This window comes from Homo sapiens, chromosome 11 (genome assembly GCF_000001405.40).
Source record: "Homo sapiens chromosome 11, GRCh38.p14 Primary Assembly".
NCBI classification, from domain to species: Eukaryota; Metazoa; Chordata; class Mammalia; order Primates; family Hominidae; genus Homo; species Homo sapiens.
Genome location: NC_000011.10, coordinates 79,144,817 through 79,172,770, shown reverse-complemented (window position 1 = coordinate 79,172,770; position 27,954 = coordinate 79,144,817). Strand labels below are relative to the sequence as shown.

General features: G+C 43.0%; 1 protein-coding gene across 5 annotated transcripts in view; it reads left to right on the top strand.

The window, feature by feature from the left end:
- The window catches only part of TENM4 (teneurin transmembrane protein 4), a 788,202-nt gene that overhangs the window by 268,260 nt on the left and 491,988 nt on the right, over positions 1-27,954 (top strand). Inside the window, exon 4 of one of the 5 annotated variants that reach the window (NM_001098816.3) lies at positions 23,965-24,061. The exons of the other annotated variants lie outside the window; for them this stretch is intronic. The gene's annotated coding sequence lies outside the window, so the exon portion shown is untranslated. The remainder of the gene's footprint in view (positions 1-23,964; positions 24,062-27,954) is intronic. 5 annotated transcript variants of the gene reach the window in all.

The window sequence follows — 27,954 nt, the reverse complement described above, 5'->3', positions numbered from 1 at the left end:
GCTACTCTGAAGGTTGAGGCAGAGGTTGCAGTGAGCCAAGATCACACCACAACACTCCAGCCTGGGTGACAGATAGAGACCCTGACTCAAAAAAAAAAAAAAAAGGAACAGAAAAGATGAATTAGAACACTCCTGCTGTTGTCTAAGCAAGAATTGATGATGCCTAAGTCAGGGATGAAATCAGAGAAGGACACAAAGGAGAAGGCCACGTGGGATATAACTTGCAGATAGGGTTAGCAGGATTTGCTGATGGATTGGAGTTGGGGAGGAACATGGTCTGTGAGGGAAAGCAAAGAATTGAGAATGACCTATGTTTTTATTTGAGTAACTGAATGGATAGGGGTAAAGTAGAAGGGGCTGGTTTGGGGGATTGGTTGAATAAATGGATAAGTGAATGAATAACGGTGTCCCTGGTCACCCAGTCTCTTTAGGAGGCTGTAGTGGGCTGATCATGCCCCCGTTTGCCTAGGACAGCCCTGGTTTACATCTGCTGATCCAGTGTAATTATTAACAGTGCTGACTAGGTGCATTGACTCATGCCTGTGATCCCAGCATTTTGGGAGGCCGAGGCTGGAGGATCATTTGAGCCAGGGGTTTCAGACCAGCCTGGGAAACGTAGTAAGACCCTGTCTCTACAAAAAATAAATAAAAATTAGTCAGGTGTGGTGGCACGTGCCTGTAGTCCCAGCTACTCAGAAAGCTGAGGTGAAAGGATCCCTTAAGTCCAGGAATTCAAATTTATAATGCGCTATGATCACATCACTGCACTGCAGCCTAAGTAACGGAGCAAGACCTTGTCTCAAACAAGCAAACAACAATCAAAGAATGCTTCCTTTCACCCTCAAAAGTGACCTGCTTTGGATGGCAAAGTACTTGGTTACCCCAGCTTAGAGAATTTTAGCTTGTTAGAGAATTGTTGGGGAAGTGCTTTGAAATGTGAAAAACAGTAAATGGAAAATGTCAATCAGCATTAGCTATGTTAATGAAGATTTGTCCAAAAGCTGACTCTTCTTTGCTCATTAACTTACACAATTATTTTAGGCTACGTTCTACAGCAAGCAATAAATGGATAAGATAAATTCTTATCCATTTATTCAACCAATCCCCCTGTCTGATTGTCTTCCAAGACATGTGGCTCCCAACCCTAGAATGGAACTCTGTTTCCCAGATCCTCTTCCTCTCTCCTTCCCCAGTTGTTAAAGATTTCTAAAACACCATATTTAATCAGTCTATGGGGACTCTCTATTTAAAGGAACCCAACGGTTAATCGTTTCATAGATCAAAGCTTTTGTTTAGGCACTAACCACTTACTTTCTACTCCACAGCGTTTCCATGGCTGGGTTTCCCTCTAGGAAGGCACAGTCTTGGAAGATAATCCTCACTCATCCTGGCTCTGAAATACTTTGTGAAATGCAAAGATCCACTTTCCAGCTGCCTTTCCTTCTTAAGGATGTCTAAATATGCAGTTGTGCCCACAGAGGCATTAGCATTTCACACAAATACCATATACTGGGTGAGGCATGCTGATATTTGGAGAAGGACATTTGTAGATACCAAGGTTCTAGGCCCTCTCTACCCTTTCCTGCTGTGGGACTCTGACACAAATTCTTCCCCTCTCTGGGCTTTTATCTTCTCACAGGTAAGATAGGAGAAGATGCCTCTCTGACCTCTGTGTGCTTCTACCTCTGTGCTTATGTCCTTCATGTAATGGGAAAAGATGCTTCAACATCATACTCACGGGGCTGGGGGAGTTATAGCACAGTCCTCTCTTTCTCAAGTCAAATTTAAACTGACTTGAGCTTTCACACAGAGATTGGGGCATGTCCAGATGGTTCTCTTATGATCCCTTTCCCTAGTTCCTCTTCCCCACCTTGTCCTAGAACCAAGGAAATGTATACAATCCTCTCCCGCATAAAAAGGTCTCTCCGGCTCCTACTCCTGTATTAGTTTGCTAGGTTCCATAAGACTGTACCAAAAACTGGGTGGCTTAAACAACATAGTGTCCCATCTGGAGGCTAGAAGTCTGAAAGGCAGGTGTCAGCAGGGTTGCTTCCTTTCAAGAGCTGTGAGAAAGACTTGTTCCATGCCTCTCCATTAGCTTCTGGGGGTTTGCTGGCAACCTTGGGCATTCCTTCGTATATAGAGGCATCCCCCAGTCTCTGCCTTCATCTTCACATGACATTCTCCCTGTGTGCATGTCTGTGTCACTATTTCCACTGCTTAGGAGAACACGAGTCATATTGGATTAGGGGCCTGCCCTACTTCAGTATAACCTCATCCTAACTAAACTAATTACATCTGCAATGCCCCTGTTTCCAAATAAGGTCACATTCTAAGGTACTAGGGGTTAGGATTTCAACATATCAATTTTGGGCAATGCTGTTTGACCTATAACACCTCTCAAGTATGGAAAGTCTCTGTTATTGTTCAATCCACTGCTGTGGTTACTGCCATTTTGCATCATAGGCAGCTGCTGGCCCATGGCAAGCTGTCCAGTGCTGGGCTCCTGATGTGACAGAGTCTTATGTTCCCAACTTCCCACCCAAGCCTTCATGAACTTGGAAGGAAAGGAGTCTTCTCAGTGCTATATTTTGCCTCTGGTGTTCCCCATTAGACCACTGAGACCACCAGGTCCCCTTAGTACCATTATCCTCCAAAAACCCCAAGGTCCCAACATATCACAGGGTTCAGAGCAGCTGGACAGGAAAGAGCTCATGGGAATGTCAAAAAGCCCAAAAAGCCAGCCAGCTCTCTTTAGGGGCAAAGATGCCCAGGCACCAGAAAGAAAAGCCCCATCCTATTTGTCTTTGGAATAGGGAACAAACTAACATTTTTTCCAAATTAATCTGTCAGGGTCCCCTGCCCTCCCCAAGATGGCTAGAGAGATTTCTTACTCTATCCACAAAAAAGGAAACACAAGTTAAGTTCCCCAGGGAAGACCCTGCTAAGATCTCTGTCTGCCAGCTCCTTATGCATGCTCAAAACCTGTTTGGCTTTTCAACCTGTGCATCAGAATGTTCTGAACATATCTCTTTTGCTGACTGATAAGTGTTTGTCTTTGCCCTAGTCTCTGGCCACAGCAGAATTGGTGGTGGCTTGTGGTTAAGTATTGGTCTCATCATTTTTTGGGGGGAGGGGGTCACATCACACAGTCTGACACTGGATCTTGTCAAGAAAACTGTGTCAAAGAGCCTGAGCATGACCAGAGATTTGTTCAATCAACAGTCTCTGGGGGAGCTTGAGTTACTGCAGCACAAATGTGCTAGTTAAAGAGGCAGCTTGGGGGAAGAGGAAGGATTCCAAGACCTGAGTCTGTTCCCACTGCCAATATGCCCTGGCTCTGAGATCCCAGACAGGTTGCGTAGCCTCCCCAAGTTCCACCGCCCTCCCTCTTGCGATCACTCAACGGCATGCTCAAGGAGAGGGATCTGGTCAGTTCCCAACTGCTACTGAGGCCACAAGTCTGGGCTTAATTCACAGATGTGCCAGGGTATCCCTCATCTATTGCTGTGTAACAAACTACCCAAAACTTGATGTTTTAAAACAACTGTGTATTATTACTTCTGAGTGTGTGGTCAGCTGGGCAATTCTGTTAATCTAGATAAAGCTTGGCTAGGCTCATTCATGCATCTGAAGTGGGTCTGGGTGACCAGCCATCTCCATTTGCCTGGGACTGAAGAGGTTCCTGGGGTATTGGACTTCCAGTTTTAAAGTTAGGAAAGGTCCTGGGTGAAAGGGGATGAGCTGGTCACCCTAGGTCAGCTGGTGGATCAGCTGAAGGCTGATTGTTATCTGAGATGAAGGACTGAGATGGCGTGGGTGGGGGTAGACTGGGCCATGTGTCTCATGTCATCCAGTAAACTAGCCTGGGCTTGTTCACCTGGGCAGCTGAGCAAAGTTCCAAGAGAACAGGCAGGGATGAGCAAGGTTTCTTGAAGCCTGGGCTCAGAACTCACATATCACAACTTTGCCTCGTCCTATTGATCAAAGCAAGTCACAGGATGAGCCCACATTTAACAGGTGGGGAAATGGACTCCACCTCCTATGGGAGGAGCTACAGAGTCACATTGCAAAGGGGTGTGGATATAAGGGGGGAAGAATTGTGTTCATTTTGCGGTGAATCTACTGCAAGCACAAAGAGCTTTGCTTTCTGCAGCAGTCAGATGCTGTATCAACCAGCTACCAAGATGCCAGGAGCCAGAGTGTGATGATGTAACAGATGCTCCTCTATGTGTCTAGCTTTCTCTCCTCTCCCTTTAGTCCATGTGGTCCCAGTAAATACAGTTCCACTCTTTGCCCGGCCAACTTTTCACTATGGGAAAGTAGCTTGCAGTCCCTTCCTCCAGGAAGCCCACCCTGACCTCCAGACTGGTTTGGCATCCCCCCACACCCCTGGATCACCATGTCATTCTCCCACAACCCTCTCTGCTTTCCTGTGTCACAGCACCCACCACCAGGTACTGACATTGTGAGGACTGGGAGCTTCTTGACTTGGGAGATAATCAGATTTGTTTCTGTACCCCAGCACCCCACTGAAGTTCTGCCACATATAGGTGCTTAGGAGATTGCTGAGGGATGGCTTGAGGTCCAGCTGGAATGGAAGTCCCAAAATCTTTGTTCTATCCCCTTTACTCAGACCCAGAGCCCATCTCAGGCTCCTGCCAGCAGCAGACTTCAGCATCACCCTGCTCCTGCCTGCCAGGCACAAGACAATGATCTAACCATGGCCCCAGTTCTGCAAACTAGCTGATGCTTTTTCCATCCTTGGCACTGTCTAGGGTGAGAGTCTGCACAGGGAACCATGTTAATGATGTGGGTGTCAGTGTGGATGTCAAACCAGAGTCAGGCTGTGCCTGCTACAAGGGTATGACTCATTTTTTTAAATCTCTACATGCATCCAGGGTAGGTGCCCCAGCCACAGTTTTGCAGGCCCTGTGGACACAGAAGGAGCCTGGTTTAGAGAGGGGAGGGTCAGATAGACCTGGGGGTGTCCTCCACTCGTCCCTCACCCTCAACCCCACACCAAGTCTCTCTCTGTGTCCTGACTCTTCCCCTCCTACCCTGCCACCTTCACCTCCAACTGGGCTACCAACCCTGCTCAAGCCCCATCCCCTTCACCTGGAGCCTTCTGGCAGTCGGAGTGGACCTTTCTAAATACACGAGAATGTGGTGATCAGCAGCAAGACCCAGGAGGCAGACTACCCAGTTTCTGCTGCTCCTGGCTAGGCAGCCTTGGGCAATTTTCTTAACTTTTCTGTGTCTCCTTATTTTCTTTATTTGTAACTAGGGATAATGATAGTTTCTGTATCTAGGTTGCTCTATGGATTAGTTGAGGTGATATGTATAAGTGTGCACTTAGAATATTCTCTGGTGCAGAGTTAGTTGCTCAATATATGTTAGCCATCCTTGTTATCATCTCTGTCCTACCTCAGACCCTTCAACAGGTCCCCACTGGCCATAAGATAAAGGTTGAACTCCTGTCACAAAGACCAGGCCATTGTTCTTTATCCTTCTCCCTTCTTCCCACTGTGAACTCAGATATGATGCTTGGAGGTGTGGCAGCCACCTCGCAACCAGGCAGAAAATGCTAAGTATGGAAGAGTTCAAATGTGAAAGGAGCCTGGGCTTTGGTAACTCTGTAGAACTGCCGTGCCGGCCTGAACCGCCTCTCCCCAGACTACTCATATGCAACAAATAAACTCCACTTGTTCAATGGGTGAATAAAATGTTCTGGCTTCTCTGCCTGGCATTCATGAGCCTCTAAGAGTTCCTGTTCCCTCTGCAGCCTCATTTCTGAAACTATAGCCCACCCTCCACTCCCCTGCTTTATGTTCTAGCCATACTGAACTCCATGGAAATTCTTCTGCACACCATAGTTTTGTGCCTCTCAACCATTGTTCATGCTTTTCTCATTCTTCTTCTGTTTGGAACTTCCTAGTGCACTGTCAGCTGTTTTCTGCCTGGCAAATGCCTATGCTTCAAAACCCTGCACTGATTCTGCCTCTCTATGAAGCTGTAACTGACCTCTTCACCCATTCTGGGCAAATTAATCACCGCATGACTACAAAATTGAGCTAGACCGACTGAATGCAGTTCCCACTTCTGCCACTTATTAGTAATTCCATTCTCTCTGTGCCTCAGTTTCCTCCTGAATTAAATGAAGCAAATAACAGGGTTTTATGAAGATTAAATAAGGTAATAAGGGTCAATAACTTAGAATAGCCAATAGTAAGCAGTCAATAAGTGTTTATTATCATCCTCATCATGGATATTCTTAAGCTTCCAGATCTATAATTCCCACTTGTGCATAAACCTTTCAGGGGCAGGGATTGTATGATTCATCTCTGAATCCCCTACCCAAGCATAGTACCTGGCACCAAATGGGCATTGGGAAATGATGGCTGAATTTGCTGATGAAAGCCTCTTAAAAAGAGAACATGCTCTATGCCCTTGGCATTTCCAGAAATGGAGCCAGTGGGGTCCAGAAGACGAAATACCTTCATCTTTCTGCTATGGAACTTTCTTAGTACAATCACTAGCAGAGCATGTCTTGACTTACATCAAGTCAAAAGAGATAATACAAGTAAAAGACCCCCATGGAGTGTCAAGTGTGATTCAGTGCTGCCCACAACACTGCTGCTGGCGGTGATGATTAGTGGCTGAGACATGCAGTAGAACCTGCTCTGGGTCTCTTCTGGACCTTAAGGACACTCCCTATTCAGAATGAAGGTAAGTATAATGTGGTGTCAGAGAAAAAGTTAGGCAGGCCTCATATAGACCAATGGAACAGAATAGAAAACCCAGAAATAAAGCCAAATACTTACAGTCAAGTGATCTTCAACAAAGCAAACAACAACATAAAGTGGGGAAAGGACACCCTATTCAACAAATGGTACTTGGATAATTGTCAAGCCACATGTAGAAGAATGAAACTGGATCCTCATCTCTCACCTTATACAAAAATCAACACAAGATAGATCAAAGACTTCAGCCTAAGACCTGAAACAATAAAAATTCTCGAAGATAACATTGGAAAAACCCTTCTAGATACTGGCTTAGACAAAGACTTTATGATCAAGAACCTGAAAGCAAATGCAACAAAAACAAAGATAAGTAGATGGGACCTAATGATACCAAAAGGTTTTTGCACAGCAAAAGAAATAACAGAATAAACAAACAACCCACAGAGTAGGAGAAAATCTCCTCAACTATACATCCTACAAAGGACTAATACTCAGAATCTACAAGGAATTCTAACAAATCAGCAAGAACAAAACAAACAATTTCATCAAAAAGTAGGCTAAGAACATGAATAGACAGTTCTCAAAAGAAGGTATATAAAGGGCCAACAAAGATATGAAAAGCTGCTCAACATCACTAATGATCAGGGAAATGCAAATCAAAACCACAACACAATACTGTCTCACTCCTGCAAGAATGTCCGTAATCAAAACATCAAAAAGTAATAGATATTGGCATGGATGTGGTGAAAAGGGAACACTTTTATGCTGCTGGTGGGAAAGTAAACTAGTATAACCACTATGGAAAATAGTGTGGAGATTCCTTAAAGAACTAAAAGTAGAACTACCATTTGATCCAGCAATCCCAGTCCTGGGTAGATACCCAGAGAAAAAGAAGTCATTATATGAAAAAGATACTTGTACAAGCATGTTTATAAGAGCACAATTCGCAATTTCAAAAATATGAAACCAGCTCAAATGCTCATCAGTCAATGAGTGGATAAGGAAAATGTGGTGCATGTATATATATGTATACACACACACACACACACACACACACACACACACACACATATATATATAGTATTAGTCCATTTTCATGTTGCTGATAAAGTCATACCCAAGACTGGGAACAAAAAGAGTTTACTTGGACTTACCGTTCCACATGGCTAGGGAGGCCTCAGAATCATGGCACGAGGTGAAAGGCACTTCTTACCTGGTGGCAGCAAGAGAAAATGATGAAGCAAAAACAGAAACCCCTGATAAACCCATCAGATCTTGTGAGACTTTTTGACTATCATGAGAATAGCATGGGAAAGATCAGCCCCCATGATTCAAATACCTCCCCCTGTGTCCCTCCCATAACACACGGGAATTCTGGGAGATACAAGTCAAGTTGAGATTTGGGTGGGGACACAGCCAAACCGTACTATATAGATATATATATGTATATATATAGTATATAGTATATATAGTATATAGATATATATAGTACTATATAGTATATATATAGTATGTATAGTGTATATATATACACTATATGTATACACTATATATATACACTATATATATACTATATATACTATATAGTACATATATATCTATATACTACATACTATATATATTCTAGTATATCTATATAGTATATACACTATATATTATATATAGTATATATAGTATCTATATAGTATATCTATATACTATATATACTAGTATATCTATATACTATATATACTAGTATATCTATATACTATATATACTAGTATATCTATATACTATATATACTATATATACTGTATATAGTATAGTATACTATATACTATACACTATATATAGTATATATATACACTATAGTATGCCATATATACACTATATATACTGTATATATACATATATACTATATATACATAGTATATATAGTGTATATATACTATATATACATAGTATATATAGTGTATATATACACTATATATACATAGTATTTATAGTGTATATATACTATATACATACTATATATATACTATATACTATACTATATATACACTATATATACACTATATATAGATATATAGATATATAGTACTATATAGATATATATGATATATATGGATATATACCTATATACGATATATATCCATATATAATATATGTACATATATGTGTATATATGTGTGTATATATGTATATATAATATATATGTACACATACATGTATATATATGTGTATATATATGTGTGTGTATATATATATGTATGTGTGTGTATATATATACACATACCATGGAGTATTACTCAGACATAAAAAGAAATGAAATAATGCTATTTGCAGCAACCTGGATGGAGTTAGAGACCATTATTCTAAGTGAAGTAACTCAGGAATGGAAAACCAGACATCATATGTTCTCACTCATAATGGGAGCTAAGCTATGAGGGCGCAAAGGCATAAGAATGGTACAATGGACTTTGGGGACTCAGGGGAAAGGGTAGGAGGGGTGTGAGGAATAAAAGACTACACATTGGGTATAGGGTGCACTGCTCGGGTGATGGGTGCACCAAAATCTCCGTTAAAAAACTTATTCATCTAACCAAGAACCACCTGTTCCCCCAAAAAAACTATTAAAAAAAAAGTTCGGCAGGCCTCCAGTGTTTCTTGGCTATGTGGCTTGTACAAGTGTTTTCAGCTTGTTGGGCTTCAGTTTCCACACCTGTTAAAATGAGTTTACAGCATAGGATTTTTATGAATATAACAATTGTTATATTCATACAAACGTGAAGCAACTAGCATAGTGCCTGGCCTGCAGTAAATGCTCAACAAATGTCCCTTCCCCTTTCCTTCTCTCACTCTCCCTCTCACCCCTGTCCTCTCAGATCGTCTGTGCCATTGGGCAGAGGGAAATTCTGTCCTCCCAATGAACTGGTATGTGGGGTCAGGTGTCTGGTAAGCAGGCTGGTTCTCTACATTAAACATGCTGCCTTCACTCAGGGACAAGGTCTAGGGACCTTTTAGGCAGAAGGACCATGTTTATGCATGTATGTGCAACCTGCTTTCCCTGCAGCGCACCTTGGGCCTGCAGAAATAGCTCCCTCAGAGCTGAAGAGTCAGCCAGCCTTGTATGAACAGGGACTATGGATCCTCATATGGGCCCATGTCCACTTGACCAGGCTGCATGGCTCAGCATGCTGTGCAGCAGATGAACAGCTGGCCCAGGGAGTTCCCAATGGGCTCCTGCACACTGCCTGGGAGCCAGGAGGGAGACCTTCCAGGACCTGCCACCTGGTGCCAGGGAGGGGTGAGCCCGCAAACCCAACAACTAGACCAGATGGGTGACTGGGCAGCCAGGGAATGTGGAGGAGGACTCGAAGGCTGTCCAGAGCTTGCCATTTCATCTCTCTCAGACCTAGTTTCCTCATCTGCAAAATCAGGCTAAAGAAAATTAAATAAGTTTTGGGATTCCGGTGGAGCTAGAAAATAATACTTATCTTCCTGGCCTAAAATCAAAATTAATTAAGACATAGAGGAGTCAGACAGATAACAATAATAATAAATAAATAAATAAATAAATAATAACAGCAAATACTTTATAGCATCATGACCACTAGTTAAGCATTAATACTTATTTAGTATTTCCTATTTGTCAAACTCTGTTCTAAGCCCTTTATGATGTTAACTAATACAACATTTCTATAAGGTAGGTACTATTCTTAGCCCCATTTGATGGATGAAGAAACCAAGGCACTGAAAGTTTAATTAATTTTTCCCATATCACAGAACTAGTAACTGGAAGACTAGGATTTAATGCCAGGTGGTCTGGCTTCCAAGGCCATGATCTTGACCACTGCCCTCCACCAATTACCATGGAAAGCCCACAGGGCAGCTTTAGATCTGCACACAGGGTCTTGCTAACACTTCGACCTATAGTTAGACAGACTTGGCCATCCCGTCAAGGAGAGGAGAAGAGCTGTGCTTTCCATAGGCCACTTCATAGGCCATACAGGGGGTACTGGGTGAGGCAGGTCCGGTTCCTTCTCCCACACCCACCAACCCAATCATTGTCACTCAGATTACCACAAACTTGCTAATTTGTAACTGGGGGTAATGATAGTACCTGTGTCCATGTTGTGCTGTGGATTAGCTGAGGTGGTATGTCTAAGTGCGCACTTGGGTCATTTTCTGGTGCAGAGTTAGTACTCAACCCATGTTAGCCATTCTTGTTATCATCTCTTCTCTACTGCAAACCCTTCAATGGGTCCCCACTGACCACAAGATAAAGGTTGAACTCCTTTCACAGAGAACAAGTTGTTGCTGACTTAAAACAACAGAAACATATGCTATCACAGTTGGACAGGCTAAAAGTCTGCAGTCCAGGTATTGGCGAAGTGGCTCCTTCTGGAGGCTCTGAGAGAATCCACTCCATGCTCCTCTCCTAGCTATGGCGGCTGTCAGCACTCCACAGCACTCCTTGGCCTGGGGACACACATCACTGCAGTCTCCACCCCCACTTCACATGGCCTTCCCCTCTGTGTCTTTGTGTGTCCTTTCTGTCTGGTAAGGAGCCCCTCGTTGGATTTAGAGCCCACCCTAATCCAGTGTGGTCTTATATCAATCTTTTAATTACATCTGCAAAACCATGTTTCCAAATAAGATTACATTCAGAGATTTTCAGTGGACATGAATTTTGAAGGCACACGTTTCAACCATGAAAAGGAGAAATTAGTAATGGAATAAGGTAAGGCAAGAGTGTTCCCATAAGGGAAGTTTATCCTCAAGAAGACGTAATGTGGGCAAAGAGGTTTCCTCCTGGGATTAGTAGACACTGGCGTGGCTGCTTTAACAGAGATCAGAACAGTGGTGGCCAAAGCATAAAAGAAGCTTGTTTCTCTTGCACATAAAATCTCAGCCAGGGGGATAGAGATGTTCTACTTCACAAGGTTCTTCAGGGCTTCTTTTATCTTTTTCTAACATGCTGTTCAAGATGCCCTTAACCCCAGAGACAAAGATGGCTCACTAAAAAGGGCCATGCTTTAGCCAGTAGGTGGTGGAAGAGGAAGTGGAAGGCAACCGGCTTTTTTCTAAAACTGCAAGCAAAAAGTTGCACATAACACCTCTGCTCACACCCATTGGCCCAAACTTAGACAGTCATGCCTCACTGCAAGGGAATCCGGGAAATCTAGTCTTTGGCTGAGAGGTCATGGAACCAGCTAAAACTCAAAGGATTAAATTTCTAAATGAAAGATGGGGAGATTGATCATTGAGGGACAACTAGAATAAAGTATGAGAAATACCTGATACAGGGTAAGAGGTCAGTAAATTGTAATGTTGATCTTCTGCCATGATATTGCTGACAACTTATTCTCACTGGTGACATGCTGATAAGCCTCTATATTCACCCCTGACCCTGGCACCTGTCACTGTAGTAACCCAAGTACAGACAGATTATGACTCCACAGTCTTGAGATGGGCCGCTTTTTCTTCACACTCCTTTACCTGGCTCCCCAAGTCTGCTGCTCTCCGAGATGCCCCCATCTCCATCTCAGCCCTGCACCCCAGGTTGCAAAGTCCTGGAGAAGAGAGGCTCTCCCCAAGTCCCCCGAGCTCTGACTGCCAGGAATACCCTGTGTTCTGGAATCTGAACCCCCAGGCACTGCATGCCTTGCCCATTCTGCACGGTTGCCTTCCTGGATACTAGAGGAGTTTGTGGAAAGAATTTTCTATCATTAGAGGGTGAAAGTCAAAACAGTAATTACAAGAACATCAGTTTCTGAGTGGAAAGCATATCCCCTGCACACCAGGAGATATGCCTGCACAGATCAACAAGCAGGATGTTAAAATGGAAGAGAGTGTTCTGGGAGGGAGGACTAATGGCCCCAGCCATGATGGAGGCTCTGCTTCCTGGGAGGATGCTGCACTGGGGAATAGGGAGGAAGGAGAGTAGGGAATGAGTGAGTGAGTGCATGGAGAAGGGAGTGAATGAAGGATAGAAAGAATGAAAATGGTAAATGAATGATTTACTTAATGAATGAATAAATGAAGAAATAAATAAGTAAAAAATGAATTCGTGAATAAATAAATCAACAAGAAAATAAATGAAGAAGCTAACAAGTGAATGAGTGAACAAGTGTGATTTTGAGGAAATAAATGAGTGAAAATTGGGGGAACTGAATATGAGCTTTGGCCAGCAGGTGGTGGAAGAGGAAGTGGAAGGCATCTGTAAATGAATGACTGAGTCAGTATTAAGTAGAAATGAATAAATAATAGAATAATTGATTGAGTGAACGAGTGAGTGAACCAGTAGTCAAATCACTCTTCTTTTCTGGACAGATGCGATCGGCAGCAAGACTGGGGTTGTAGGGCAGGACTGGAGCTCTATCTACCTAGAGGCTCAACATCTGGGTCAGCCACACATTAGGAGGCCAGGAGGGCGGGCAAAGCTGGAAGAGTCATGTAATTATAATTATGAGAGGTGGGATAAATGTTAAAAGCATCTGGTCCAGCCCCATCCCCCTTTTTACAGATGCGAAAACTAAGGACAAAAGGAATGACAAAAAGCTTGAAAACAAGACATTTGAAAACAGGCTAGCCATGTTATCTTGGGCAATTTATTCTTTTTATTTCATTTTTAAATTTAATCCTTAGATTTCAGTTTCTGTATTCGCAAAATAAGGGTGATGCTACCTAGTGCGTAGGGTAAGATTAAATCAGATACTACATGCCAACTGTTATTCCCTGTGGTGTTTATTTGGTGATCAATCGATAGTTTGAACCTAGACACAGCAGTCCGGGTAGACTAAGATAAGATATAACAGCAAAGAACCCCCAAACCCAGCGATGTTGACTCAACAAAGATGCGTTTCCTGCTCATATCACAGATGAGGGCCATGTAGAGCCCCCCTCTTATAGCTCTGCATTCTGGAAATCATGGCTTTGAGGGTCACCACCACAGAAGAGGAACAGTACAGAGGGGCTCATTGTTTCTTGGCCTGGAAATTACACATCTCCATGCCACTCACTTCAACCTCTCTATAAGGAAAGTGGATATTGGCTGCGAAGAACAGGGGCTTTTCAGTGAGCACTGACCATGTCTACCATATACTAGGGTTATTTGGGGCTTGTGATCCTGGTCCAATAGAGGTGATGGTCTGAGGAGGAGTACTTCTCCAGCTGTAGACCCATGCTAGCAGCTTCCTCAGTGGCTGGTGGCCATTGAAACTCCAGATTTAGAGTCAGAGAATTGGTGAATCCATCTCTCCTGCCTGTATGATCCTGTGCAAATTATTCAACATCCCTAAGCCTCAGATACCTTCTCTATAAGAAAAGGATAATATCATGCATATATCACATGTTGATTGAGGCGTAAATGTGACAGTGTGTGTAGAATCAATTTCAGAAGTATAAACTACAATGAGAAATGATATTCTTCTCATTCTACTCACCTTCCCCATTCCTTCATGAGAGTACTAATCCTTACTGAGTACAGTGTCACAGTCAATATGTCAAGAGTCTTACCTCCTAATTTAATCTTCATTGCACCAATGCAAGGGTTGTGCTATTAACTCTGATTTACAGGTAAGGACCTGGAGGCTTCTCAGGGAGAAGAAATAAGTTGTTGAGACCTTGTAGCTATCATGACAGAGCCAGGCTCAACCCCAGCCATCTTATTCCAAGGCAGGGTCTTGCCTGTGTCTGTAGTCTCCTATGCCTTGGCTAGTATGACTACAACTTTGCAAGGGGAGATCATTCTTTCTTCCTAAAGGAAATTTACCAAAATGTTCTGGTGTGGCCAGAAAAGCTTAAGTGTCTATGAGTATTTTTTATTTGTGGAAATGTTACAAAAGTAGATTTTCTTACTTTTGATTATGCACATTCCCCAGCAAATCTGCAGAAAGTCCTAAGCAGAGATTAGGTGGGACACACAAGGATGCAGGGGCAAGCAGCCCAGAGTGCAGGAGGAGGGTCCCTGGGTCCTGGGCAAGCTGGGATCGACTTCTGAGAGCAGAGGTAAGCTGCACAGCATAATTGTGCTAGCTTTGCAGGTAGGACGTGTAGTGGAATGAGGACGATTCTGCCCTCTCACCAGAGGTTAGAACTCCCCAGACTAGTTAGAACATGCTGGTCAGGAAGTTCAGCCACTTCAGCCAAGGTTTCCTGAGCATTTGCTGGTTCCCTGCTGCTGTAGATACAATGGTAAAAATACACTGTCCAAGGCCTTCTGGAGTTCACAGTAGCGGGACCAACAGACAGAATTTACCAATACAGTACAGTAGGATTATGGTAGAAAGCAAGGAGGTATGGAACCCTCAGGGGAGGTTTTACAGAGGAGGCAGCTTGTGGACGAGGCCTTAGAAGAGGAGTAGAAGTGTGGAGATCAGTAGATAGGATGTTCCAGGCAGACACACAGCAGGAACAGAATTGTGGAGGAATAGAAGGACAATGCACAGTGAAGAAACTGTAGCTCTGAAAACTGCCTGGGTGAGTACTAGGAGAGTACTGAGTTACAGATGGCAAGACCTGGGTCTTCTTTACCACTGTAGCTGTAGCACATAGAGCACAGAGCCAGGCATGCTGTAGGGACTCGGCACACATTCGCTGAGTGCATGAGTAAGTGAGTGAAGGTATGAAAGAAAGAGAGAAAGCAACAGAAGAGAAGGAAAAGAAGTCAGAGATTTACTCCACGTTGCAGCACAGATTATTGAGGACAGCCGCCCAGGGTGTTAAAGACCTGTATGAAGGGAATAGGTTCACAAAGATGTATTGGATCTCTGGGTGTCCAGGACAGAAACTGAGGCTCAGAGAGAGCCTCAGTTATGGCTTGTCTTATTGCATATCCAATAAATGGGACTTAGAATGACCAACTAATGTCGTATAGTCCTGGGCTCTGTGTCCTGCACTGCTACTAACTGGGGAGCTCCTGCACTGTCCCATCTCCTCTCTGACTACAATTTCCTCCCTTGAAATAAGTGATCTCCAAGTCCCCTTCAGGTCCTCCTTCTCAACCCATCTCACTCATTCCGCAAACATTCACTGAGCATCCTTGTGTGTCATGCTTGGTCCTGCAGGAGATCAGAGAGAGGGTCCCCACTCCTGCCCAACCCCTCAACTTGATCACATTGTCAGCCTTTGTCATATATTTTTAAAATGCTTATGTTGTCTGCTGTCTCACCAGACTCAAAGTTACTTGGGGGCATATTTGATCCTTGTGCTTCCTTAAATTATTTTTGGAGCAAGGCAGAGAGTAAATACATAGATTAATTAGTGTATTGATTATTTTTTCTTTGTCCCAGAGCACCTTAGACTGGTAGGCATTCACAGGAGACATTTATCGGAGACAGTCAAATAAGCAGAGCATTGCACAAAGGGGACAATTGCACCAGCAGGGGAGAAAGAAAAGGAGGGTGCTGGAAGCTCAGGATGGACCTCTGATCTAGACAGAGGGTGAGGAAGGCTTTCAGGAGGAGGTAACCTTCCACTGAGTCTTCAAGGACAAGGAGTTACTCAGGGAAAGATGAGGGTGACTGAGACTAAGGAAACAGCATGTAGAAAGTGCTGGAGGCCTGAGAAAGCCTTGCCCATTTCAGGATCTACAAGTAATTTCTGGTGATGCCAGAATCTCGCCCTTCACCTCTTCCCTCCAAGACTCCCTGGTGGGGTATGCGTTACACACAACGTGAACAGGGACCAGAGAGGAATCAATCTATCCATGCTGACAAGCACCTCGCACATCACTCTTCCATGCAGGACTTATTGATTGGTGCTGGGCTGCCAACTTGGGCAGGAGCTACAATGGTCTGTGCAGGACAGACTCTACAGTCACTTCCTCAGGCTGCCAAGTGGCCGGAGCCACAGTGCAAGCCCAGACCTGTCCCTCTGGAGTTTCCTGGATACCTTTAACACCACCCAGTCTTCCCTCTAGGCAGGAGAACACAGTGTGCCTTCACTTCTGCTGGGAGAGGCCAGTCCTAACCGTTGACATTTTCTATGTAACTGAAGCTCACCTCTCTTAGGGAATAACTTAAACACTTTATTTAAAGTTTAAATATTTTTGAAGTTAAATTAGTTCTATAGTAGACAACATGTAGGAAGGATGGGATGGCTGGCAGGTGGGAAGGGTGGGGGGATAAAAGGAAGAAATGAGGGTCAAGGAACCCAGTCAGGAGGCTTCAGAATTCCAGACATGACCCAGATACACATCTTCATGTTTATATCCCAGATCTCAGGGAGAAAGCCTAGGCCAGGATACTCTTAGAGTGGGAATGAGGAAGAAGAGAAAGGAGGCAGGGAGGAAGAGAAGGAAGAGAAGGAAGGGACGGAGGGAGGGAGGGAGGAAAGGAGGAAAGGAGGGGAGGGGGAGAGGGAGGGAAAGAAGGAAGGTAAAAAGGAAGGGAGGGAGGGAAGGAAGGATGGAAGGGAGGGAGGGAGGGAGGGAAAGGCGGACCATTAAACTACTTGGAAACAAACATCAACTATTATTTAAACATCAAATATTATTAAAGAACAAAAACAGCAGGTTTCCGGAGCACTCTGGAGTCTATCTTGATAGGTTGACGTTGCTCTGGGGTTAATATGAGGAAATGGCATTCTTAAAAACCCATATTAACCTGTCTGTTGTTCTATGGACTGTGACAGCTGCATTTTACATCATAATGGCTAACCATTTATTTCAAGCCAAAAAAAAAAAAAAGAGAGAGAGAGACATATTTTAGCCCATGAAGCAAAAGCTCAAGGCTGGAAGCTTTGCCCTAGAAACAGGTTGTGAAGCAGAAGTTCAGAGTAGGTCAAATGTGGGTTCCACAGGAGCCCCTACTGTGTGCCCCACCTCCATTGGCCCAGATACTCCGGATCTGTCCCTCTTCTGGGTCCCGCTAGGGTTTGCCTCTCTAGGCCTTCCTTGGGGCTGTTGTGGTCTCAGGGGAGACAAGCTACTCACTTGGATAATGGTGAGGTCCTGGTAGCAAACAGTACAGGAAAGGGCCCTGAGTGCAGGGGAAAGGAAGGGAGAGCTTGTGGAGAGCAGAGAAGGGAGGGTCGAGCTGACCCAGCTTCAGATTTGAACTGCATGGAAATGCACTCATTCAACAAGTATTTTTTGAGTACCTACTATGTGCCCTGCCCTGGTCCAGAGCAGTGAACAAAATAGGTAAGGGTCTACTGCATGCTTGGCCCCCTGAGGACACCCCGGTGGACAACATACAGGTGGGCCTGCTTCAGAGGGCTTATATTCTAGCTGGGGAGATAGGCATTAATCAGATCATCACTCTGGTAAGTGTGATCACAAGGGCTCTGAGAATGTAGAGTAGAGGAAACTCCTTCCTCTGAGGGGCCAAGGAGCTCTCCTGCAAGTGAGTAAGGCTAAGCTGAGAGCTGAAGGGGAAGAGGGGACTCCCAGCCTTGGGGACGGCACTTACTCCTTGAGCATAATTACCTGAAAGATGCCTGGTTTGGATGGAGCTGGGGGAACAAGGGGCCCTGATGGGAACATAACATCAGCAGGGGGTCAGGGGACAAAGTAGACATGTAATGTTTATTTAAGAGTGGTATGGTTTGGATGTTTTGTTCCCTCCAAATCTCATGTTGAAATGTGACCTCCAGTGTTGGAGGTGGGCCTAGTGGGAGGTGTTTGGGACATGGGGACAGATCTGTCATGAATGGTTTGGTGCTCTCTTCATGGTAATGAGTGAGTTCTCACTCTATGAGTTTATGTGAGATCTGGTTGTTTAGAAGAACATGGCACCTCCTCTCTCTCTCTCACTCCCTCTCTTGCCATGTGATGTGCTGGCTCCCTTTCTCCTTCCCCGATGATTGGAAGCTTCCTGAGGCCCTCACCAGAAGCAGATGCCAACACTATGCTTCCTGTACAGCCTGCAGAACCATGAGCCAATTAAACCTCTTTTTTTTTAATTACCCAACATCAGGTATTCCTTTATAGCAACACAAAAGCCAACTAGCACAAGCAGCAAGAGGAAGCTCTTGAGGAGCTTGAACAAGGGGTGACATAAGCCTTCAGGTTTTTGCACTGTTTTTAAAACTTTTCACACCCAGTGTTTTTGAGTCTGAAAGCAATCTGGTAAGGCAGTGAGTTTGGGGTTCTTGTCCTAACCTGACAGATCAGAAAACTGAAGTCCTTCCAAAATGGATGACTTACCTTACCTAAGATCACTAAGAATTGAACGAGTGAGAGGATGAGGGTCTAAGTCTTCCTGCTCAGGGGCTGGTTGAAGAATCAGAGAGAAGAAAGGGGGCCTCGTAGACCCACACACAGCATGAGCAATGGTATAACATGGTGTCAGGGGAACCTTGCATGGTTTGGAGAAGAGCCCCAGTGTGAAAGGACCCAGCACTGTGCCTCGTACATGGCAGATGCTCAGAAAACTACCCTTCCCCTTCTTTCAGCCGCAAGAACCACTGCTTCGGTTTCCCACACTGCCTGGCCACCATCATGCCACCTTCTAGGTTAAGGGGTGTTTGGGCAGATACTTGGTTTTGGTAGGGGTGTGAGAGAAGGGAGACAGGTTGTCTTGTGCTCCTTACCCAAGTCGGGATCCATCTTTCCTAGCTCTGATTGTTCTGCTGGGTGACTTGCCTCTGCCCAGACACCGTGCAAGGAAACATGAGAAGAAAATTTCCCAGGATTTCTGCTGCTCTGCCCCTGGCCCTTGCTGCAATGTTCTACAGTGCTTTGGTCAGAAAAAGTCCTCATCAGAATGATCTGCTTTGGACATGTATTCACACAAGAAGAATCATCTAATATTCATTTACAAAATCCTTTTCATACATTTTTCTCATTTAATCCCCATAACAATCTTGTGAGGTAGTTACTCATTACTGACATTTTATAAAAGGGTTTTGAATTGGTTGTTATTCATGGCACACATAACAAACCAAAACCTGAGCACAGGTCCTCTCTGACCCCAGTCTAGTCATCTTCTAGCTTCGTGACAAGTGTCTATCTTGGTATCATCCTTTAGTACTGCCTATTCAGAGACATCACAACAAACTTTCCCCGCAGTAAGGCAAGTGATGGAAAGCCATTCTAAAAATGTGCCCAGAATCTTTAGAAGAACAAACATCCATGTAATTAGTCTTTGGTATGTTTTGTTCAGTGTATACCTTTCTTCTGCATCAGTTTAAGGTTGGCAGCTCTTCTGTCCTCTTGATGAATGCCGTTGGGTTTTCCTGTGCATTGAAAAGGTGAGTTTGGACATCTTCCTGCTCACTAAAAGGATGAACATTGACCATTTTGGGAGGCTATGTCCAGGAAGTCATGCTTCAGGGAGCCCAGAGCTCAGAATTGCAGTTCCTTCTCTTTGCATATCCATTGGACATCAGTAGAGGGCTGCCAGCCAGCACAAACACTGTGGCATTGGAAGGGGTTGGAGGAATGCAGCTGGCTCCCAGCCCCTTGTTTTCCCGTTCCACTGGAAGGTTGTGTTCATTCGAGCTTTTAAACCAAAAATAAATTGTTGTAATCCATTTGCTAATTATACCATGCTAAAGTTCTAGACGCTGTAAATTACAGCCATGATATATCTAGATGAAGTTTCTGGGAGTTTATTTTTAGCCATCCAGAAAGCACTCAGTTTCCTAGAGGCTTCATTTGCAAGTCTAGGAGGGAACAGGGAAAATGCATCTGCACAACCTTTCTTGGCCTATGACCTGGAGACGATGAACCTCTCCGGTTCTCCTCTGTAAAAGAAAGTGGTTGTAGCCGTTCACTTTGAAGGTCTTGTCTATCTTCAAAGCTCTAACTCTCATTTTCTGACTAAGCAAAGTAGAATGTAGCCAAACATGGGTTTTCAGTTCCTGGTTGATCATGGAGAATATCAAAAGCCACCACACCAACATATTAATATTTGTGAACCATGGAACACAGATCTTCAGAAACCTCAGGCTCAATGGACACATTGCGTTTCTTTTCTAGTCCTCAATTTTGAGGAGTGGAGAGAGGATGGAAGGATTTTATGTTTATTTAGCACGTACTCTTTGCATAATACACTGCTTGGTGCTTGCATTTGAGTGATATTTGGATGGCCTTCTCCATTCAAGGACAATGTCATCTAATTTTAATCAATCAGTCACTCATTGACATCTGTGTGCCAGCCACTGGGGTTGGTTCTGAAAATATCTAGGGTAAATTAGATGCATCTCTTACCTCCAAGGAGACAGGAGGTGGAGATAAAGCATGCAATGAAAATGTTGAAGTGCTTTTTGAAATGCACTATTATCTACAAATGATTAAATACCAAGTGCCAGCAGAGAGAACACAGAGAGATACATTGTGAGGGGTAGGGGGAGTGTCTAGGTTCATCTGTGCCTGTTGGGGGAGGAGAATCAGGGAAGACTTCAGGGATAATGAGGTATTTGAGCCAGGGATGATATGTAAATATGATTTTAAAATGTGGGGATTGGGTAAGGGAAATTGGACAGATCTAGTTTAGTAACCTCGGAAAGCGCCCCGGCCAGGTCCCATGGATGACTGTCCTTGACCAGTCATTAACACATGACACACAGAGCACATCTCTTCCCCAAACACCACAACTTCTAGCAAGTTTTCTTCAATTTTGACCATAGTATGATTATTTTTTCAAAGAGTCAACATAAAAAATCCTTTGGAACAATTCCTTTGTCTGGATGCTTCTTGTGTTTAGACTTCTAGATAAGCAATCTTCTACTATACTTGTGTAATTCTTGGGTGGAGAGATGGATGCATGGTCAGATGGATGAATGGATGGTTTCATATCATTGTAGAGCTGCCACAGCAAAGAGATGGAAGCAGTGAAACTGGTTTGGCTCGCTAATAGCTTTGTGGGAAGAGCTGAGCTTTAAACAATAAACAGAATTTTCTCAGCACACAGTATGGATAAAGGCCTTCCCTTCAGAGGGAAGCAAAATGAGAGCATGAAATCCATGACATCGTGGAAGAATGGTGAGTCACAGAAGCCATGGTATAGGAAGGCAGGATGAGTTAATGTAGTGGCTGAGAGCACAGGCTATGATTGGATGGACTGCGGTTTGAATCCCTGTTCTGCCACATAGTAGCTGAGTGATCCTGGGCAAATTAGGTCACTTTTCCAAGCTTCTATTTTCTCATCTGTAAAATAGGAATATTAATAATGTCTACCTCGTGTGGTTATTGTGAAGATTAAGTAGAATAAAATAATGTTTAGCACAGTGATTGGTATGCCCTTAATAAAGTGTAGTTTATGGTTATTATTTTATAAAAAAACACTTCTAATTAAATTATGAAAATGCCCATTCAAACCACAGAATTTGTGAAGGAGTCAGAGAAAGTCCTTGGGGGGAAAGAAGAACCAGGAGAAACTGGTGTTGCTGATATGGAGGCAGGAATTTCTAGAGGGAAGGGGTCCCTGCTAGCAAATGACCCAGAGAGGCCACTGCAGATTGAGAAGAAGTGTCTGGAATATGCAGTGACAACATCCCTATGATCTTAAAGAAAGAGGCTGAAAGCCACAAGGCAACGATTTGTGAAGAGTGTGGGAGTGGAGGAAGTGGTGGTCTAGATGACTCTTTCAGGAAATCTCTCTGAAAAGGAGAAAAGGAACTTGGGGGCAGGACAGGGGACAAGGTCATGGGAAGGGCTGTTTGCTAGATGAAGAAATTTGAACTCAACACAGTGTTTTTTGACCTTTCTAAACTCATGCCTGCTTTGATAGACATAAACATCACTCTCCCCTGCAAGACTGATGTTCTGGCACCCAAGACCTAACACCAGGCTTATTTGAGAGCCACATCTGCCAGGAGGATTTTGTCAGGATTTACTTTCTGTGCTGTATTTTTAAAACAGTAGGAATTTAATGATCTGTGAGAACCAAGCAGGTAAGAAATGATGGAGGCATTGTAGGTCATAACAAGGATGGATTTGAAAGATGATAAGAAGGCTGAACCGAGCAGGAGTGAGGAGTGAGGGGCAGAGGCGAGTCAGAGGGATCCTGGGGTTCTGGCATTGAGGACTGAATAAATCACTGCACCAACTGGTGTGTGTCCTTTTTCTTTGTGGGTTCCCACCTCTACCTGCCTAGGTGACATTATACAGGTTTAAGACCAAATAACAGACGTGGTCATTGTTTAGAAACTTTTAAGTACTTTATCAGTGTAGGGCATTGTTAGTGATACTGTTATAAAGAAAAAAGAGCATACCTTGATCTTTCCTTGTGCACTGTGTCTTTGTCAGTGAGTATAATTTTAAATGGTGTGAGGGAACTAATGTGTATTGCTCACATACCTTATTACAGGTGAGGAAATGGAGATGCAGAAACATTTAAAGAAAGCCAGCCCAAGATCAACCCGACAGCCAGAGAATGCACACTCTTTCTAAGCACATATAAAACACTCACGAAAGTGGACTGTATCCTAGGCCGTAAAATACAATCCAGTAAATTTCAAGGAGTCAGTATCCTACAGACCATATTCACCTACCACAGTGCAATTAAGTTAGAACTCAGTAACAGAAAGATGAGATGTTTTTTAAAAACCTATATTGAGATATATTTATAAAAATACTTCCAACTAACTCTCAGATCAAAAAGAAATGATAACAGAAATTATAAAATGATTATAAATGAATGACCAAAGAAATATTAAATATCAAAAGTTGTGGAATATAGCCAAGACAGCACTTAGAGAGAAATTTATCACCTTAAATGCTTATATTAAAAAAGAAGAGCTGAAAATTAATGAATGGGTTAAGTATCCAATTTAGGAACAACAGCAAATATAAGTAAATAAACCAGCCCAGAGTTGTGCAGTCAGAAGTGGTGGGGCCAGGATTTGGGCATAGCTATGGCTGGCTCAAATCCCTCACTCTCTTTACTCCACTGGTACCTTTCTCTGTGCTGCTTTCCATTATATGCCCAGTACCTGGAGATTCTCTCTCCCTAAGAGTTGAAGAGATGAGGCTACAAAGTAACTCCCTGCATGAAAGCTTGATGATAAATCCCACTCATTTTCTCAGCCATCCTTTTACTTGTCCATCAACTACTTAATGAGCATTTGCCATGTGCCAGGCACTGTGCTAGTAGCTACTTTAGTTGCATCTTTCCTCTGAGCGTTCAAACACTAGACTTCAGCTTGGGACCAAAGCTCATACTGCTGCTACTAATGCCCATGCCCACGTCTCACCCCCACCTCCCAAGCTGCCAGAATCTTCTCTACTGCTTATCAGAACAGCATCCTCATCAAAAATGACTGATTTGTCTCTTGTCTCTTTCAACAGGTAGACTGAAATTACCATGTGTCCAAATTAAAATTGCATACTTCAAGGATTATTTGAAGGACTATTCTTAGACCCTTTTAAGAAGATTTAAAGAAAAGTGAGTTGATTTTTTTTACACTTCAGAGAGTATTCATGATTTAAGTTAATGTTATGGGTTCTTTTTTTCTCTACCTCTTAAATATGCATTAATAGGTAGACTTTATCTTCATTTATTTTACAATAAAGATTTTTTTTTCCCTAAGAACAATGAACAAAGAGTGCAGGATTACTGCTTGCCTTCCCTGCAAGATTTTTATATGTTTCAAAGGCTTGTGGAATCTTAGAGATAAAAGGGTTTTAGAGGTACGGACCATTCCCTCCTGGATGCTGGGAAACCCACAACAGCATCTCTATAGATCCCTGGCCTGTTCTTGGAAACTTGCAGGGACTGGTTTGGAGGTTGGTATCTCCCCACACTTAGGATTTTTGTAGAGCTCTCCCATAATCTGGACTTGAAATTCACTCCACGTCTTGCCAAGTCTCTTTCTTCTCTACTAGACATCCTAAAATAGGTGAATGTAAACAGCATGTCCCTCCTCAAGATCTTTTCTTGTTATTTGTTCCTCCAATCATTTCTCATAAGTTGGTTTCAAGAGCAGCTCCCACCCTGGTCACTTGGAATACAGACAGAGCACCTCCAGTGATCTTTGCCCAGTATATGGATGAGAATCAAAGCAGGGTAAACCCAAAGAGCAGGCCTGGGTTCAGCCCCAGTTCTACTCTTGTTGTGTTTTCAGGAAAGTCACTTCATCATTCTGAGCTTGGTGAAAACAAGGAAGGTAGGAAGAGATAGTCACTACCATGCCTCTGACCTCCACTTGGATCGTTTTGCTGACTCAGAGTAAAGAAGTTGCTGCTTCTTACCATCTCAGGCACTGGAATGGGCCAGGTCTTGGGAATCCATGGAATCTGGGTCCAATCCAAGCCCTATCACTTGCTGACTATGTGGCCATAGACTGCCATTTCTCATCTCTGATCATCTGTTTCCTCATTTGTTAAATGAGGATGCCAATAAATGTTGCAAAGGGTTGCGTGAGGATGTACTGAGATAATGTACATAAAGCACCTAGTACCTGGTACATAGAAAGTGTTCAAAACATGGCAGTTGCTAGTATGATTATAAGTAATGGCAGAACTACTTACCTTTAGCCAGAGGAGAAGATAGGAGGTGCTAGAGACTCTCATAAGGAGAGAAAAGAACGGGCATACTCATTAGGGATACAGTAGTGTTCACATCTCATAAACTCTCATGCAAACATAAGCCCAACCTCAGAAAATTCATGAGGTTAAAACTCTACTTCTCAGAGTCAGACAAGGATGATGGGTTGCTATGGAAATATACAGTTAAAAGGGAAATTTTAGAGTGGGTCCGAGAAGCTGCACAAATCCTGCCAATCTCTCACTGATGCCATAGCCCCGGTCCTAGATGGTAAGGATTAGAGCCCCCCAGAATGAAGGTCCTTAAACACACAGACTGGGAGGCCTGCAAATCATCAAATATTTATATATGTTCAGAAGGCTGGTGGTGAGTGTTGGATGAGAGATTGAGTGTTTTGTAAACTGTAAAGTTTCCTACAAATATATGTGCCTTTGTGTGATTCATGTATTATGGACTGTATCAATACTTTGCAAATCAGAAGAAAGGGGGGAACTCAGATGAGCTGACTGTGTAATGAACCTGTAGAGTCCAGCCCCACTGATTTCTGAGTGAAATAGCATATACGTATGCATGCATGTACATATCTGTATACACACGTCTATGCATGTGTGTGCATGCACACGTGTGTGTTTGTGCATATGTGTGTGAATCTTTGACCCTTTGGAGGTAGTCACCACTCTTTATCCAGTGACTGGCTGCCTCTAAGGAGTATAACAGAGGAATGAAAACACAGGCTATGGTGTCAGTCAGCCTAGCTCTATAACTTACAAGTTATGTGGCCTTGGTCACATTATTTGATAAGAGTGGTACAGTTTTCGCCTTCCTGGAGCTGAAAGTCTGTGGATAGGGCTGCTCTCAGGAGCTGGGAGGATGCAGCATAGGATGTATCTCTCACACCAAGAAAGTGCTTAGGATATGGGAGAGTCTTTCTCCCTTGGTTAGTGGCTTTTTTCTGTTTGTTTTTCTCAGAGTTTAGGGAATGTTGTGTTAACTCGTTAGATAAAAGGAACCTCTGAAGGTATCTTTGGTTCCATAAGACCATGCCCCTGAAGACCTAGGTACCTCGGTGGCTAGAGAGACTGTGTAGGAAAACGTACCCTCTAGTACCTGTTGAAAGGGCTAATTTCAGAGGTGTTTCCACACCTTGGCCATCCTTCTGAGTCTCTTCCCTCAGTCTGGGCCATGGGGCTGGCAATTATTAAATTCAGAAGAATTGGAAACTGGTATCACTCAAGGTATAGGACAAAGTATTTTCTTTAAATTTGGAAATTAAATATAGCTAACATCCTTGTTCTCCAGACAGTGGCTCACAGTAGATACAGAGGTGTTGATCCAGGCCAATGTTGGTGTGGATGCCACAGGCTAGAAATGCCCCTTTCTGGGCTATTCTGACCCAGGAAAGACTGCATAATTGTGTATCACAGGGTGCTTCAAATTGTGGGTTGTAGTCCAGTAACAGGTCATGAAATTAATTTGGTGGCTCAAGATCAGCATTTATTAAAGTAAAAACAGAGTAACCTAGTAACCCACAGAGTGGGTAAAGATGTTGTATATTTGCACTCCATATACTCAACAAAGGTCTCATATCCAAATATATATGGTAGAAAAAAAAGAAGAAACTCCTATAAATCAGTAAGAAAAGACAGACAGCCTAATAGAAAAATGGGCAAAAGACTCAGATACTTCATAAAAGAAGATGTCCAAATAGCCAAAAAAGCACATAACATTTTTACTCTTCAGGGAATGACAAATTAAAACCATAATGAAATACTACTATGTACTCATCAGAATGGCTGAAATAAAAAATATAGACTCTATCTAGTGTTGGCAAAGATGTGAAACAACCGAAACTTACACACTGTTAGCTGAAATGTAATTGGTTTGATGACACTGGAAAACTGTTTGGCAATATCAGCTAAAGCTGAACATATACATACCAGCACTTTCACTCCTTGGAATATACCCCTGAGATATGTACACAGATATCCACCAAAACACATGGCCATCAGCCCTGGAATGGATCAAGGGTAGCATATTCACATAGTGGAATATTGCACATAGCAATATTGATGAACCTCAGAAGCATGAAGGTGAAAGAAAGAAGCAGGCACAAAGAAACTTTATGACTGCACTTTAAAAAAGTACAAAGCCAGGTAAAACTACTCTGTGTTTTCAGAAGTCTGGATGGTGGTTGCCCCCGAGGGAGGAGTTGGTAAATGGGAAGGAGTGCAAAGGGGCTCTCTAGTCACATTCTGCCTTTTAATTCAGAGGTAGGAGGGCAGGTTAAATGGGTGTTGTCAATTTGTAGAAATGCATCAATCTATTCATTTATGATATGTACCCTCTACTGTACTTAAGTCATACTTCAATAAAAGTTTATAAAATGAGCATAACAGAGGAGAAAATATAGCAGGTCATAAGGACAAACATCATTAAGTGAAACTTCAGTTACATGTCCCTCTAAATATGTGTGTATAGACCAAGTTGAGGTATGAAATGTATTTCTTTTTTAAATTTTTTTTAATTTTTAGTTTTTATGGGTTCATAGTAGGTATATATATTTATGGGGCACGTGAGATATTTTGATACAGGCATACAATGCATGCTGATCATATCAGGTTAAATGGGGTATCCATCACCTCAAGCATTTATCATTTATTTGTGTTATAAATATTGAAATTATACAGTTTGTTATTTTTAAATGTACAATAAATTATTGTTGACTGTAATCAACCTGTTATGCTATCAAATACTAAATTTTATTTATTCTAACTATATTTTTTGTACCCATT